Here is a 16,085-nt window from a genome sequence, read left to right as displayed (position 1 = left end):
AAATAAAAACTTAGGAATAAAATTAAATAGTTAAAATAAAGCTGAAAATGAAAAATGAAGTAGCCACCTCTAGGAGACAAAAAGAAGGTTTAAATGAGATTCTATACTAATAAGTAAATACTACAAAGCCAAAAAAAAAAAAAAAAGATGAAAGAAATGAAAAAACAGAAAGACGGCCATAAAATAGTTAGTGCTATGGACTAAATTGTGCTCCCCATCCCCAAATATGTATGTTGAAGCCCTAACTCCCTATGTGATGGGGCCTTTGGGAGGTAAATAGGTGTAGAAAAGGTCATATGGGGGAACTTCCTAATGGAATAATTAGTACCCTTATAAGAAGACATACCTGGCTGGGCACAGTGGCTCATGCCTGTAATCTGCAGAGGCAGAGGTTGCAGTGAGCCAAGATTCTGCCACTGCATCCATCCTGGGCAACAGAGCGAGACTCCATCTCAAAAAAAAAAATAACATAAAACAAAAAAAGAGACATACCAGAGACTTTGCTGTCTTTGTTTCTCTGTCTCTCTCCTCACCATGTGAAGACTTACTGAGAAGGCAGCTGTCTGCAAGCCAGCAAGAGGGCCCTCACCAGAAGCCAACCATGCTAGCACTCTGATTTCAGACTTCCAGGTTCCAGAATCATGGGAAATAATTTCCGTTGTTTAAGCCATCCAGTCTATGGTATTGGGTTGTGGCAGCCTGAACTGACTAATCCAAACAAGTAGCTTGTAGAAGCAAAATAAAGGTTCCAAATCCTTTTTTTTTCAATAAAAATATCAACTAGAATATCAAAAAGAATAATAAGGCATGATAGACTGAAATGATACTAAATTTAATATAATTTAGAATAAGACGATTGGAAAATACAAATGCTTTGAAAACACAGCAATAAAGAGAAGAATGAAAGAGAATAAATAAAGAAAACTCTTCAAGAAAAAGAAATAGTACGAAGATGAAGGTTGAACTTCATAATGAGGCCAGCAGGTCATTGGCTGGACAGGGCCTCAGAGGTCCAATGTGTTCCTGCTGGTGGGCATGGGGCCTCCCTGAACCTAGAGCAGTTCTTCAGATGAAGCACTGACTGACAGCGGGTCCTTGGACTCAACTCTTCAACTCTTGTTGGTGATTTTGTCCCTGGTGAGATCACATATCTCTCATTCCTCATGGCAGAGTTTTCTATCTGCTGCAAGGGATCCCAGCTGGTGTGTCCACCTAGACCACAAAGCTATACAAAAGCTAATATCCCATAGCCAGACCGAATTTGGACTCAGTCCTCCTTCCTATCTGCCCACTCATTTTTCCTTTCTTCTATCCATTAAAAAACACTTACTGGGGACCTGTAGTGATGTATTAGTGGCCATTCCAGTTGCTGGGTGCACAAAAAGAACCTGAAAACCACCCTCTTGAAGTTTACACTTAAGTGGGTAGGTGAAGGAGAAAGGCAAAAAAAAAAAAAAAAAAAAAAAAAAAACTGAACAAATACACGTTTTCTAAAGTCAACCGCTGTGAAGCAAACAAACAGCAACCTGAGACCAAATAGAAAGGGAGCTCTATTTTCAGATAGAGTGGACACAGAAGGCCTTAAGAGATCTACGCTGAGACCTGAAGTACGAGAAGGAACCAGGAGAAGAATCTGGCAAAGATGAGTGAACAGCGCACAGTCTCTAAGTTAGAAAGAGCTTCACGTGTTCCTGGGACCCCTGAAATGAGCCTATGAGTGTGACATAGGACAAGAAGAGTGGCCGGAGAGGGAATCATGGTCTCTACAGTTGTGTGTGGTCCTTGGGCAAACTGTATGACAGTTCCGTGCCTGGGTTTCCTTGTCTACTCATAAAATGTAGTTGACAATACCTTCCCCAGAGACCATGCATAACAGTTAAATGCGATGCAGTATATTGAAGATGCTTAAATCTTGGAATTCCTTTCTTCAGCTTCCTTCTGGTAGGGGCAATTTTTCTTCCAGAATCAAAGACATGTTTGGCCCCTTGAGACTATGACCTACTGGAGATTTAAAATGATTGCTTGCTTTTTTTTTACTTTCAATGTATTCAAAAATTACACGCGGTGTATGGGACTGATAATGTGCCCATCTGAATTCAATGAGAAGATTGTTTAACACACCAGATTAATTATTTTTCAATTGAGTGTTTTTCATAATGTAGTCAGCTTTTGAGGCAAAGACTCAGCCATAAATCTTAAAATTAGCTGGGGAATTAATTTTAAAATTAAACACACTATGATGAATTACAAGCAAATGAATGATTAGTAATGTAGAAAGACACAACCTGGCCAGGTGGGTGCCTATGTATATGGCAACTTGTACTGAGCGGCCTTTGCAGGTCAGCATCTTGGTCAGGGAGGAGGAGGGTAATAAGTATTTCTCTAATTTTGTATTTTAACTTTCCCTTTCAAAAGCTTATGCTTGAAAATTTGTTTCCAAATTGAAACTGAATTTATAAGCTGTAGGATTTTACAGCATACAGTGACACTGAGAAGACTTAAGGAACTAACACTTCAGAATCTGAAAATGCAAAGATTAGAAAAATGGCCACAACTGAGGTATGTTGATGACTCAGTCACTCGCTTGATTTCCTAAACGTATTCCCTCATCCATCTTTGCTAACTGGAGTCCCTCTTCCCCTCATCAACTTGCTGCTTCCTACCTCAAAAGCATGACATTTATTTGTTCTCCTTGTGAAGGGTGATCCAATAACACAGAATCCTCCAGACATAAGTAGTGATTTTATTTCCTTCCGATGAAGCTAAACAACTATCAGGAAGATATTCAGTGAAGAAATGCATAGCTAACTGTGCATTTATATTTGTCTATTTCACCTGGGAGGAAATAACGTAATAGGTCCATTTTTTTAAATCTAGATTCCAGGGTTAAAAATGGGGAAAGGGTGAGGAAGGGAGAGAGGAATGAGGCCACTGCCCATTATTTTTGGAGCCTTAATACTTTTCCTTACGGGGTTTAGGGTTGGAAGAGACCTTGTTTCCATTAAGAAAGAAACAAGAACACCCTTCGTGGTTCCTGCCCTGTAACAAATTTATCCTAGTTCTTATAAAAGTCTATAAGCTTTGCAGAATAAATGATGTGTAGAGCCACATGAGAGAAGATAATCTGAGCAGTGTCTGTAATTCCCCAACACTTCCCCAGTAGTTTGTTAGAAATTGAAATTCTGAATTTAGGTTTTGTCTGCAGAGGTTTTTGTCAAAATGCATTCATGTACCCAGAACAGAGAGTATTTCCACACTGGCTCCCGATTAGATTTGCAGTGGAGGGAATGTGGCAATGCACTGTGAAAGAGAGCACAGCCCTGGTACTGTGGCCTTTTTTCAGTCCCCGTGCCTGTCATTTGCTGGTTGTGTGATCTTGTAAAATGTGTTCACCATTTTGAGTCTTACTTCCTTCTACTGTAAGATTGTGAAGACTCCTTAGCCCACAGGTTTAAATTAATTAAGTGAATTGATATATGAAAAGAACTTGGCATTGTATCCAGAGCATAGTTCACACATCAAAAATTTTAGCTATGATTAGTTGCTTATCAGATTTAACGAGCTGAAAGAATGAGTTTGGAAAAGCAAGATTTGATCAGAGGAAAGGGAAGGAGTTACTGAATGAGGAAATGGGTGAGGACTGGACTGGCCTTTGGAGGGAGTCAAGGTGAGCATCAAGGACTTCTGTAATCAGCTGGGGGACTTGGCTCCTAAACAGAAAAGAAGTAATGAAAATCAAGAGACAAAGACTTTTATTTCACAATCAAACACTTGTTTGATGGGAAGTGAAAGCTAAACAAGGCATTTTACAAAAGTTAACTCAGTGACTCCTCATTATAACCTTCTGAGGTAGGTACGAGTTCCATTTACAGATGAAGAAACTAAGGCACAGAGAGGTTAAGTACTTGCCCAGGAACATACTGTGGCTGAGTAGCAGAGCTTGGGTTTAAATCCAGGCTGCTAAGTCCATGACTGTAAACATTAGACTCAGCTTCATTTTTACAACAATTTTTACGAAGCCTGTCTCTGAATATTTAGAAGTGGAGCAGGGGATCCTAAGGTTTATATTGTTCAACGGTATTCCCTCCTTCCTTTCTGGATGCCCACTTTTTTGAGCACTTCCTTGTTGTGTCACTGTTCTAATACATCATGAGTCAACCAATTCCATTTTATCTGAAACTTCAGTGTGTTTTCACATTTATGTATTTTCCAGTTTGATTTTCCTGGAGATCTGGTAGCTAATATAATTTTATTTCATAGTCCATATAAATTTATTGAAATTAGTATGCATTTTCTACTTGAATCGACAATACAGTATTTTCTTATTTGACTACTTGCTATCTGTGGCAGTTAAAGCAGTGGCAGTGATCAAAATCTGCAATTCATTGTTCAAAGACAATATTCTTTTATTATCAATTTGCATTGCTTCACGTGATTTAGAAAATGGTAGTAATTCACCTGGACTTACAACCGTTAAAGCCTGGGTACATTTCTTTACCTTTTTTCCTTTATGCATGTGCTCTGAAATGTTTTTTCCCACAGGGAGTGAATTTGTTACCTTTGTGTGACATAAACGTTCAAAATTATAATGCAGCTATTTATTGACTTTTTAAAACATGGCCAGTTTTGATGCTGTAAACCTATTAGAAGTCATTGATAAACATAAAATGGTTCCTATAAATCTGAGTGAAAGTCACAGTTGTGAAGTCCCAACTTATTTTTACTCAACTGTATAAAGCTGAAAGAGACAATAATTTTAATTTAATTGCAAATATATACATGTATTCCTTTGTGTGCCTTTTTACTCAAGTGAATTGACAGCATCAGGAACCAAAACCGTTCCTTTCTCTCCCAGACAAACTGGGATAAGCATTTAGGTTGCAGCACTGATGGATTGCTATCTGAACTGGAGGCATCAATTTGAAGACAATAATTCCCCTTTTGGTTTGTGACTTACTTTTAGAGTGCTCGTACTGTACATTTTGATGGACATTCTGATTTATAGGAATACCCAATTAATCCTAATTGTGATTTTAGCTTTATTTGCTTTAATTTTCATATTTTAGTCACATTTAATTTATATCTGATTGACTCAAAAGTAAAAGGAAATACCCAATTCCTGTCAACTGATTGTTTAACCTACAGAAAGGATCCCTGAATGACTTAAACATCTGAAAAGAAGGCCTAGGTGGCTAGGAAGAATTTCTATTTTCTATTTTTCTTCTGCAGCACAGAAGGAGGATTTTTAAAATCCTTTTAGGGAAACCTGGAAAAAGAGAAGCATAGAATACATTTTCATTTTTTATTCCTCTTGTTCCTTCTTTTTGGGGAAGTCTACCTGATCATTTTGGTGAAGCCAACGTAGTTGATAATTTACAGAGGCCCCAGGATAATTCCATATAGTAATGACTTTTTTCTTGTTATCACCAGGGTCATCATTATTGCTTTTCATAAATTTCTGACAGTGCATTGTGGCTGAAGGACTTTTTCTTCCTGGCTTCCTTTTATCCAGGGATCTTAAAATGCCAATTTTAGAGTCAAAAGGTGTTTAGCTCTGTAATAAATAATGCTGATCGGAAATAAAATGAAAAACACTACTTAGCAATTTGATTAGGTTAGCCCACTGCTTGTTTTTGTGGTACTCTTGAGCTAAAAATATGGTTATACAGTTTTAAATGGTTAGGGAAAATATCAAAAGAAAAGCAATTTTCATAATCCATGATAATTATATAAAATTCACATATGTATCCATAAATAAAGTTCAATTGGAGTGCAGCCACACCTATCCATTTATGCATTGTCTATGGTTGATTTCTCATTAAAACAGCAGAATTGAGAATTACAGAGACCATATGGCACGCACAGCCTAACATATTTACTTTCTAGCCCTTTACAAAAAGTTTGCTGATCCCTGGATTATAAGGATATCTGGAAGAGTGAAAGAAATATGTGGTTACAGTACATTTTGAACGTTAGTACTTATTGAAAGAAGATGAGCGCCTTAGAAACATTATGTTGTATCCTTTTCTAATTAAATAAGAAATTATAGATTATCTTATCTCAGGCACTTATTTTACAGAAGAAGAAATTGAGGTCTAGAGATTCAAACGTATTTTTATGGAACAAGCAACCTTAAAAAGAGTTATGAATTCTGACACTTTATCCCTTATATTTCTTCAAATATTTATGTCTACTGTTTTATATACCTGTAAGAGTGTTATATAAAAGTGTCAGATGTTTTTATGTGCTGGATCCCTAGTCGTTTATGGAAAATTTGGCACCAACAACATAATTACAAGAAGTAATCCTGGTTAGTCCTTCTTTGCTGGGCAGGTTCCCTGCAAAGACCCTATGGTCTGAGAAGACATAGTAATTGTAGGTTTACCCTCCACTTATAACCCAGGGGCTCTATGTCTTTCCTTGTTTCTCTAGCACATCACAAAAATCTAAGAACAATCATGTAATATCGATTTTTGAAAAAGCCCAATCAGTTTAATTAAGATCTTTGTGAGCATAGTTTTTTCCTGATATTCACTGGCCTTTCCTTTCCCATCCTTGAAAACCTTCATTATTTATCTCTTCAAGTGATGAGCCCCTCGAACTCCAGTCCTCTTCCTGCTCATTGGTTGTCCATGTTTTTCAAGTATTATCATGTTATCACCTTAGTCATCACTCTGGCAAGCACACTTGTGAATGTATTGTCTGCTGCATCTATCTTGCCACATAAATCATGTCTTCCAATACGTTTATCATTCTCTTTGCTTGTCTCTGAACTGCCTCCAATTTATCTACTGACTTCTTTCTGGAGCTGTGATGCCCCAACTTGACTGTGGTATTCTAGGGGTGATTTCACCAACCCACAACTCAATGCCTTCCCTAAGTCATAATTCAAGACAGAACTAGCCCTCCTCTCTTTACTCCATAGCGCAATATAAAATGCAAACAAATGTATAAATCACCACTATGCATCTTCTGTGTCCTTAGTAGTCTTCACGCATAGCCAGTGTTCTCATCGCTGAGGAGTTTGAAAGGACCTTGAAAACTCATTTACTTTTTCCTACAGGCAAATTTAAAGATAAACACTTCTAGACTTGTGTATCCTGTTTTGAAAGACCTAAACCAATGTGGGCCGTGCTTTTTATTTTTCATTACTCAGTAGGTCTGGTTGGTAGTGAATCTGTCCTCTAACACAAATCTCTCCAGCAGACCTTTCTTTTTTTTCAGTCTTTATTTCGAACACTTGGATATGATCTTTATTTAATATTTTTTGGCTCAACATAATTAAAGTATCCATGGAAAAATTCAGTTCTATACAGATACACATAATCTTAAGGGATGCCTCAAGGGCTTTCATGACATGGGAAAGAGCTCTGAGAAGTATTATGTGGTGAAACCAGACTCAACTATCATTTCTGAACTTCCAAGGGGAGAATCACATTAGTCTAATGAAGGGAATAAAAAAAATATCCCTGCACATACTAATTTGAGCAGCAAAATGATCTGGAGAAGTTGGAGATCTTGATAAATGGGGCCAAGTAATTGACAGAGTGTTATAATTAGGGCAAGGCATCTGTCACTTAATTACCTTTTCCTCAATAAAGAATTACGATTTTTGCATGTTCCCATAGCTTATGATTTCTAGCTGTGATTATCTTCTGTGTTCTCATCTATCTAAGTCTTACAGATAGAAATCATTACAAAGAGAATTGCCTAGCTATCATCTCTGGAAAACAAACTGGACAAATGAAATGTAGAGAACATTTGACTGGATAAGACATGAATTTGGCAGAAGAGATCTAAATTGCAGAAAGGTGATTTGCTATTTCAGGCTGTCTTTATGTGGGATTCAGACTAACCATCTAAGTTTGGCCGCTTATTTGTTCACTTGTTCATTTATTCAACAAACCTTATTGAACACCTAATACTGTAATAGTTCAAGGGGATTAAAAGGTCTTTTAAGGAAGTTATGGTTTAGTGGACTAGATTTACAAATAAACAAAAAAAGGCAACGGAAACAGCATTGACATCCACTAGCTCTGCCCTGTGTTGAGAGAACTAGGGAAAGACTTTAGAAGAACGAGAAAGGCATGAACAAAAAAGAGGCTTGGGTCTTTAGAACAATGGTCTATCTACTTTTAATTGCATGCCCTTTTCAGAAAAAAATACTTTGAGTATTGGCCCTCATGATGCACACATCATTGACAAGCTATATGCATGTACTAGTGTCAATCTGCATATTAGATATTTGTAGAATTTATTTTATTTTTTAGATAAATAGGAACAGAAAATCTGATTTTATTTAATACCGCAATAAATTCTTATGCAATCCTTGGCTTATGCATACCTCACTTTGAAGACCTATTGCTTCAGAAAACTTAATAGTAAGTATTCCAATACAGTTCAAGTTCAAGATGTTTACGTAGCAGAGACAATAGATAATACTGAAAAGTTGGTCAATGGTTAGACAATAGTGGCAGCCGCCTTGTGACTTGTGTTTCCTAAAATGTGTTCCACTGAATATTAATACGAATCCATTGAAATAAAAAGAAAATATTTCTGCTGTCAATTAAGTTTGGAAAATGCAGGATTCAAGTATAAAATTCCATTATGAGTAGGGTTATGGATGCATATGTTCCGTTCTTCTAAGCTCTTAAGATACCATAGTTTCCATATCATTTTTATTCAATGGTTGAAACTATTGAAGGGGTCTGCAAATATGAGGTTCATAAAAATTGGCACCACATTTAGAATGGAATTCTGGCATTTAGAGGTAGGAAAAATATGACTCCATTAGACTTATATTCAAGAGACTTTTCTTCCTTATATTATATTGTTCTCACTTTTTTTCACTAAGTATTAGTTAATGAATTACTCAGTAATTTTGTTTTGACTTGAAATTAGTAACCTAAAAGCTCTTTTCACAGACCAGTTATTTGTGGAGGCAAAACAAATAACCACCTTTCACTTGCCAGTTGAGGAGCTTCCCAACTGTCTGAAATGCTGAAAACTTGCAATATTTTATTAACCTTCAGAGAGGACCACTCTTAAAATATGCAAATGTTTCATCTGCTGAGGAGTGAAATGTCTAGATGACTGAAGATTATTCTTTTAATGCCTAAGCTTATTTAGACTTTTGTTTGGGGGAGAGATATTTCTGAAATGCCACACACAGCCCTGCCACAAAGAGAATATAACAGATACAAGTTAATTTTTATCCAATGACACAGAATTGTAATTATTGTCATTAATCACCATACCATGATTGATGAAACCATGATGTACTTGGGAGTTCTTGCTGTATAACGTTGCTTCCCCCTATACTACCTGACTCCAAACTGGTTTCTTCAGAGTATTTGTGTCTGCTTTTTAATAATTGTTTTTTCACATACTTTACTGTCAAATAAATAAATAAATAGATGTAATGTATAATAAACATATATTATGTGTGTATAATATTATACATTTGCATATAAATATATGTATAGCTGCTACCCATGCTGTCACCTCTAGCTACCTATAACATTCCTCTTCTAATTAAATCCAGTAAATCACGCTTATGAAAATTCATATGGTAGTATCTGAGGGCTCCTCTATGAAATAGCTTATGTTCTCTATTTGAGTCTCTCAAAGATCATCCATTTCTGCAGATTTATCATTATATACATTTATTGAACACTTAAAGCATAGCAAGCATTTTCACATGTAATTTTCCCTTTAATTTGTGCAATAGGAGTGCAAATCAGATATTATCAACTATATTTTCATGTTGAGTGGGGTTTCCGGATTTAGCAAATAAAAATGCAGGATTTCTAGTTAATACTATGTTTCCCATAGATAAACACATTTTTATGTCTTAAAGTACATACTTGTGTGAGACATAATTATCCTAAAAATTACTTGCTGTTTATCTGAAATTCATATTTAACTCTGTGCTCTGCATTTTATCTGGCGATCTTACATGTGAGAAGATTAAGTTCAGAGAGTTTAGAAATCTACAAAAATTTATAAGTCTAGGAAGTATTAGAGCTAAAATTTGGATATTGGTCTTTTGACTTCAAGTTTAGGGCTCACCACGACTGTTCTCCATATTGCTGAAAATACTGAAAGCATGTCTTCCAGGTTAAGTAGTGGTGTAGTTTGGATCTGCGTCTCCACCCAAATCTCATGTCAAATTGTAATCCCGAATGTTGGGGTAGGAGCCTGGTGAGAGGTGATTAGATCATGGGGGCGAATTTGCTGTTCTTGTGATAGTGAGTGAGTTCTTATGAGATGTGGTTGCTCATGAGATCTGGTTGCTTAAAACCATGTAGCACCTTCCCCTTTGCTCTCTTCCTCCTGCTCTAACCATAGTAAGATGTACCTGCTTCTCCTTCCCTTCTGCCATGATGGTAAGTTTCTTGAGTCCTCCCCAGCCATGTTTTCTGTATATCCTGTGAAACTGTGAGTCAATTAAGCCTCTTTTCTGTATAAATTAACCAGTCTTAGGTAGTTCTTTAGAACAATGCAATAACGAACTAATACAGTGAGCTATAGGACTCCTATATCAAGTTACTTACATATTAGTTTCCTGGGTTTGCTATAACAAATTGCCATAAACTGAGTGACTTAAAATGACAGAAATGTATTGCCTCATAGTTCTGGAGGCCAGAAGTCCACAGTCAACGTGTTGGCAAGGCTGTGCTCTCTCTGAAGTCTCTGGAGAGAGATCCTTCCTCACCTCTTCCTATCTTTTAGTGGTTACTGAGAGTCCTGACTGTCCTTGGCTTCTGGCAGCGTAGCCTCTGCTTCACATGGCCTTCTTGTGTGTGTCTGTGTAAGCTTCCCTCATTATAGAAGGACATCACCTGTTGGACTAGGGCCTCCATAATGCAGTATAATATCACCTTAACTTGATTATATCTACAAAGGCAATAATTTTGATAAGGTCACATTCACAGGGATTGGGGGTTAGAAATTGAAAATCTTTCCATTCAACCCACAACTACTAGCAATCCATTAATACACATGTAATATAAGAAGATTCTTACCAACCTAGAAAACCTGGGACACTAAACGCAGAACCTGTAAGTGTGAATGGGGATGGGGACACTAGGAGCAGGTAGTGCTTCTGATGGGGCAGAGCCAAAATAAAGATAATTTACACACACCTTTATATACTTAGCATAGCTAGACACTCAAATCTGTATGTTTAGTAGTTGTTATGATTTGGCTGTGTCCCCACCCAACTCCAACCTTGAATTCTAGTTCCCATAATCCCCACCTGTCATAGGAGGGACCTGGTGGGAGGTAATTGAATCATGGGGGTGGTTTCCCCTATGCTGCTGTTCCCATGATCATGAGTGGGTTATCACAAGATCTGATGGTTTTATAAGGAGCTTTTCACCCTTTGCTTGGCAATTCTTCCTGCCGTCATATGAAGAAGGACATGTTTGCTTCCCCTTCTTCAGTGACTAAGTTTCCTGAGGCTTCCCCAGTCCTGTAGAACTGTGAATCAATTAAACCTTTCCTTTATAAATTATCCAGTCTCATGCAGTTCTTTATAGCATCATGAGAACACACTAATACAGTAGTGCCAGGAGGTATGTACTGTGATTTTCACCTCATTTTATAGATGAGGAAATGGACACAAAGATGCTAAATAATTCATTTAAGGTGATGCAGCTAATATGGGATGAAATTCAGATTTAAGCCCGGGCATTCTGACCTTGGAATCCACATTCTTCACATTTTTCTAGGTTGATTTAGGGGTAGAGGAGGCAGAAGGGACGGCAACTTGAGGAAGGAAAGTAATAAGAAACACAGACCACTGTAGTTTTTCTGTTCGTTTTTGTTTTGTGCTGGTTTTGCCTGCCGTCATTGCTGCTTTGGTTTACGTGGAGCAGAGCGTCTCAAACTTAATTGAGCATCCGAATCACCTGGAGGACTTATTGAAACACATGTGGTGGGCCGCTCTCCAGTGTTTCTGATTTCACAGGGCTAGGGTGAGGCCCCAGAATTTGCATTTCTCACAAGTTCCCATGTGATTTTGCTGCTGCCAATCAGGGACCTCAGTTGGAGAACAACTGGTGTAGAGAAAATTGAGATGAGGTTCAAGTAGGAAATGGTTTCCAAGTTCAAAGGGAAGCCAATAGGGAACTGGAAAAGTATAACCATTTTATGCGCCAACTTCAACTCCCTTTAAAAATAATATGAAAATATTGTGTGTATATGTGTTACATACACACACGCACACATACACACAGCATACTTGTAGGATATATCAGTGACTCCTAGATCTATAACAACTGGAAAGCAGCATAGGATTTAGACCTTTGAAACAGAGGCTTGGATTCTAGCCCAGGCTTGTTCCTAATTAGTCAGGTACTTCTTGTCTCTAAGCCTCATTCCCTCCCACTCCCATCCTCAGTATACAATAAGGCAGTTGAGATAGGGAAATGAATAAACACATGGTGGTAGCGAACCATTAACAGTCATTTTTGAGAAAAACAATGATATGGAAAAATCATCTCTACTATATTTTCTCCTATTAACTTTTTTAACGCAAGCATAAGAGTTCATTACAAGAATTCTAACATAATCAGACAATCTAAAGTCATATATTACTCACAAAACACCCGGCCAGAGATAAATATTATTAATATTTTGGATATCATCTTCCAAAGTGAGATAGATGCATACATGTAAAGTATTATGCATACTAATTTATGATCTTTTTATTAGTAGTGTTCCATGCCCATGTTTGTGTATATATATTTATGTATATATGTATGTCACCATTTTTTATATTCTCCTAGTATTACATTGCACAGTTATCCCACAATCTATTTAACCAATCTCTTATTGCTGGGAATTTAAATTGTCCCTAATTTGGAGCTAATATGATAATGGTGGTGATGAACAACCTAGTACATACACTTTGATGTACTTTTCCATTCTAGGGGGAAATTGGTGGGTCAAAGAGTAATCCTGCCTTTAAGATTCATAAAACATTAAATCAGAAATGGTTCTGAGATGTGTCAAGTGATGGTGCTTTTATTGTACATAGAAAAGTCATCCATGTGTGTTTATTCTTTGCATGTATAATGCAGAGAACTAAACTGTAAGGATATATCCTGTCATGTTAATCATTATTATCTCTTGCTCCTTAGATAGGAAGGATTTTTCTTTTTTTTTTTAATTTATTTATGTATTTTTTGAGATGGAGTCTGTCTCTGTCATCCAGGCTGGAGTGCAGGGGTGTGATCTCGGCTCACTGCAACCTCCGCCTCCCGGATTCAAGCAATTCTCCTGCCTCAGCCTCCTGAGTGGCCGGGATCATAGGCGCCCGCCACCACGCCCAGGTAATTTTTGTATTTTTAGTAGAGACGGGGTTTCACCATATTGGCCAGCTGTTCTCGAACTCCTGACCCCAAGTGATCCTTCTCGGCCTCCCAACATGCTGGGATTACAGGCATGAGCCACCGCGCCCGGCCTAAGGAGGTTTTTAAAATTTACCTTATTGTAGTTTTCTGTATTTCCTAATTAGTCTACATTCAAGAATTAGTTGCAATTAGTATACAACTACCTGAAAGTTGGAACCAGAAAAATGAGAAGCGGCTATCTGTGTGGGCAAAAAAGACGGCAAGAGAAGGATTCTTTTCTTTCTTTTTTTTTTTTTTTTTTTCTAGACAGCAGAGGAAGCACTTGGCTTAAAATAAAAAAGCTTCAGCAAAGTTCAAATGAAATACATGCACCAATTCCTTCAGGTCCTTGAGCCCCATGGTATTCTCACAGACAAGAGGAAAGATAGTCTGAAAAATCAAGTCGGAAGGACAATGCCAAGGCCAGCAGGCTCAATCTGCACAGAACGCTGTTTGAGGGGGTTTGGGAAAGGCCACATTGAACTGAATTTCTTTTTTTGTGAACCAAGGATCACTGAGCTGATCCAACAGCCACATCCTCTAGCCGGAAGGCTGCAAGGGGCGAGCTTCAAGGAGCTAAGGCTTCAGGGAGCCCTTTCTGACTGGGAGCCCATTCAAACAGGGAGAGCCCGCCAGCAGGGGAAGTTTGGGCTCAGCAGATGAGTGTGAAGGAACATCGGCCCGGCCAGTGTTGACGTGGCAGGGTGTCAACATTCAGAGCGGCAGCTGCTGCCAGAGCCCTGAGTGCCCAGACTGATAGGAGGGGGCTGGAGCCTTCCAAACAGGCTCAGTCCAGGCACGCAGGAAATGTCAGAGGCAGCAGTCTGGTGGAGGGGCGGCGGCTGTTCCGCGTGGGAAGGTCTCTTTTGATTGATTGCCTGGTACAGAAGCCTGGCGATGGCAGTCAATCAGCACAGGATCTGTGTGGGGTGAGGAGAGAGAGAGGGGAGTGGGAGGAGAGGAGGAAAGTGGAAAATGCGCCAAAAAGAACTTGTGGTGCCTTCCAGAGCCATCAGCTGGAAGAAAGCTCAGTGCTACCCTCCTGGAGAAAATGCTGGCTGAAGACCCCTGCTGAAAACAGGCAGCCACCGCAGCCAGACAGCTCTTATGCCCATGCTGAGCTTCATGGAGTGTGGGACCCATCTCCAAGGGAGCGACTGCCTGGGGTCCTATTTTCCACCCTGCAGAGCAGGAAGGAGAGTCCTGTTTCCCAGCGGATGGGTGTGAGGAAGACACATGTGGACACCTTGTGACTGTGTCTACAGCATCAAGAAGAAGCTGGTGTGACGTGGGCCTCCTGGAGTGAAACTGGGAAGTCAGGCAGCCCTTGTGTTCAGCCCATGGTTTCCTCCCCACAATAGGAGCATTTGTAAGACCAACAAATTGACACAAATCCTGTGTAGATAAAAAAGTAGAGCACAACGCCAAGGAGGCAGGGCTCCAGGCAGCACTCCTCTCTAATTTTTTTCAGTTAAAAGGAAAGGAATCTAGTTTATTAAGTAGACCTCTTGACATATAGACAGAAAATTTAAAATGAATAGATAAATAAATAAATAAGGTGGAAGTCACAGAGATCTAAGATTATATATGCAATTAAATCCTCAGCTAGGAGTTCAGGATTGTAAGAATGGAGTTGAATCTAGAAACAAGAATATGGTCAGGCGTTCCAGACCAGCCTGGCCAACATGGTGAACCCCACCCCCCCCCCACCATCTCTATTAAAAATACAAAAATTAGCCGGGCATGGTGGTGGGTGCCTGTAATCCCAGCTGCTTGGGAGGCTGAGACAGGAGAATGACTTGAACCTGGGAGGTGGAAGTTGCAGTGAGCTGAGATCACACCACTGTACTCTAGCCTGACTGCCAGTGAAACTCTGCCTCAAAAGGAAAGTGAAAGAAAGAAAGGAAAGAAAGGGAAGGGAAGGGGAGGGGAGGGAGACAAAGTGCCCTGTTGCCAATAGTTTTTATTTCAGAGGTCCTCCTGAACAACCTCTCTGGGTTCCTCCTGCCTGAGGTCTCTCACTCCCTATGCAGCTCACCTCTGCCTAACTCATCCCTCCTCAAGGAGGGTTCCTTGATGCCCTATGTCAGGTGGTAACCACTGCCCCGATACTTAAACTTCTGTTCTCTGCTAGAGCCCCCATCGCAGCACTTGCCACGGTATCAGTTATAATTAAAGCATTTATGTGCCCTCTTACTTTTCATCTGTGTCCTCTGCAAGAACATGATCTCCTTGAAGGTGGAACCAAGCCTGTCTTAGTCACCTTGTATCCCAGTACAGGATTGGCATATGGTAAATACTTGTTGAATGAATGGATGATTGAATAGGAACATGTAGTTGGAACAGGAAAGCATCGCACGTTTCAAGAAAACACAGTCTGAGTGTTGGAGACAGGCTGGGGGTAGGTCAGGCTGAGCCATTTTGGGAGGACACTGATCTATAAACTCCAAAAATACTCCAAGATTTGAGAAAAAGAAAATTCACTAGGAGGTTCCAAACCAGCCAACAGTACTGACTGTCAGGAGGAAAAAAAAAAATCCCAAGGATTTTGAAATTCTCAGGAGTGTATCCATGCTCACTTAACCCCCTGGAGATTCACCAGAAGAAGCACTTGTCAAGGAGAGGAAAATAGCAGGAAACTAAGTATTTTGAGGAGCTTGCTTTGTGCCAGTCACTGTTAAGCAG

The 16,085-nt window shown here is 39.1% G+C and overlaps 1 annotated feature.

Annotated features, from left to right (window-relative positions):
- Positions 13,914-14,208: an enhancer, noted in NCBI's record as "tiled region #6063; HepG2 Activating non-DNase unmatched - State 20:ReprD". NCBI's record gives its function as "activates a minimal TATA promoter and a strong SV40 promoter by Sharpr-MPRA in HepG2 cells {active_cell/tissue: HepG2}" and the evidence as "EXISTENCE:reporter gene assay evidence [ECO:0000049][PMID:27701403]".

This window comes from Homo sapiens, chromosome 2, assembly GCF_000001405.40.
Source record: "Homo sapiens chromosome 2, GRCh38.p14 Primary Assembly".
Classification (NCBI taxonomy): domain Eukaryota; kingdom Metazoa; phylum Chordata; class Mammalia; order Primates; family Hominidae; genus Homo; species Homo sapiens.
This window is presented reverse-complemented; position numbering and strand designations above follow the sequence as displayed.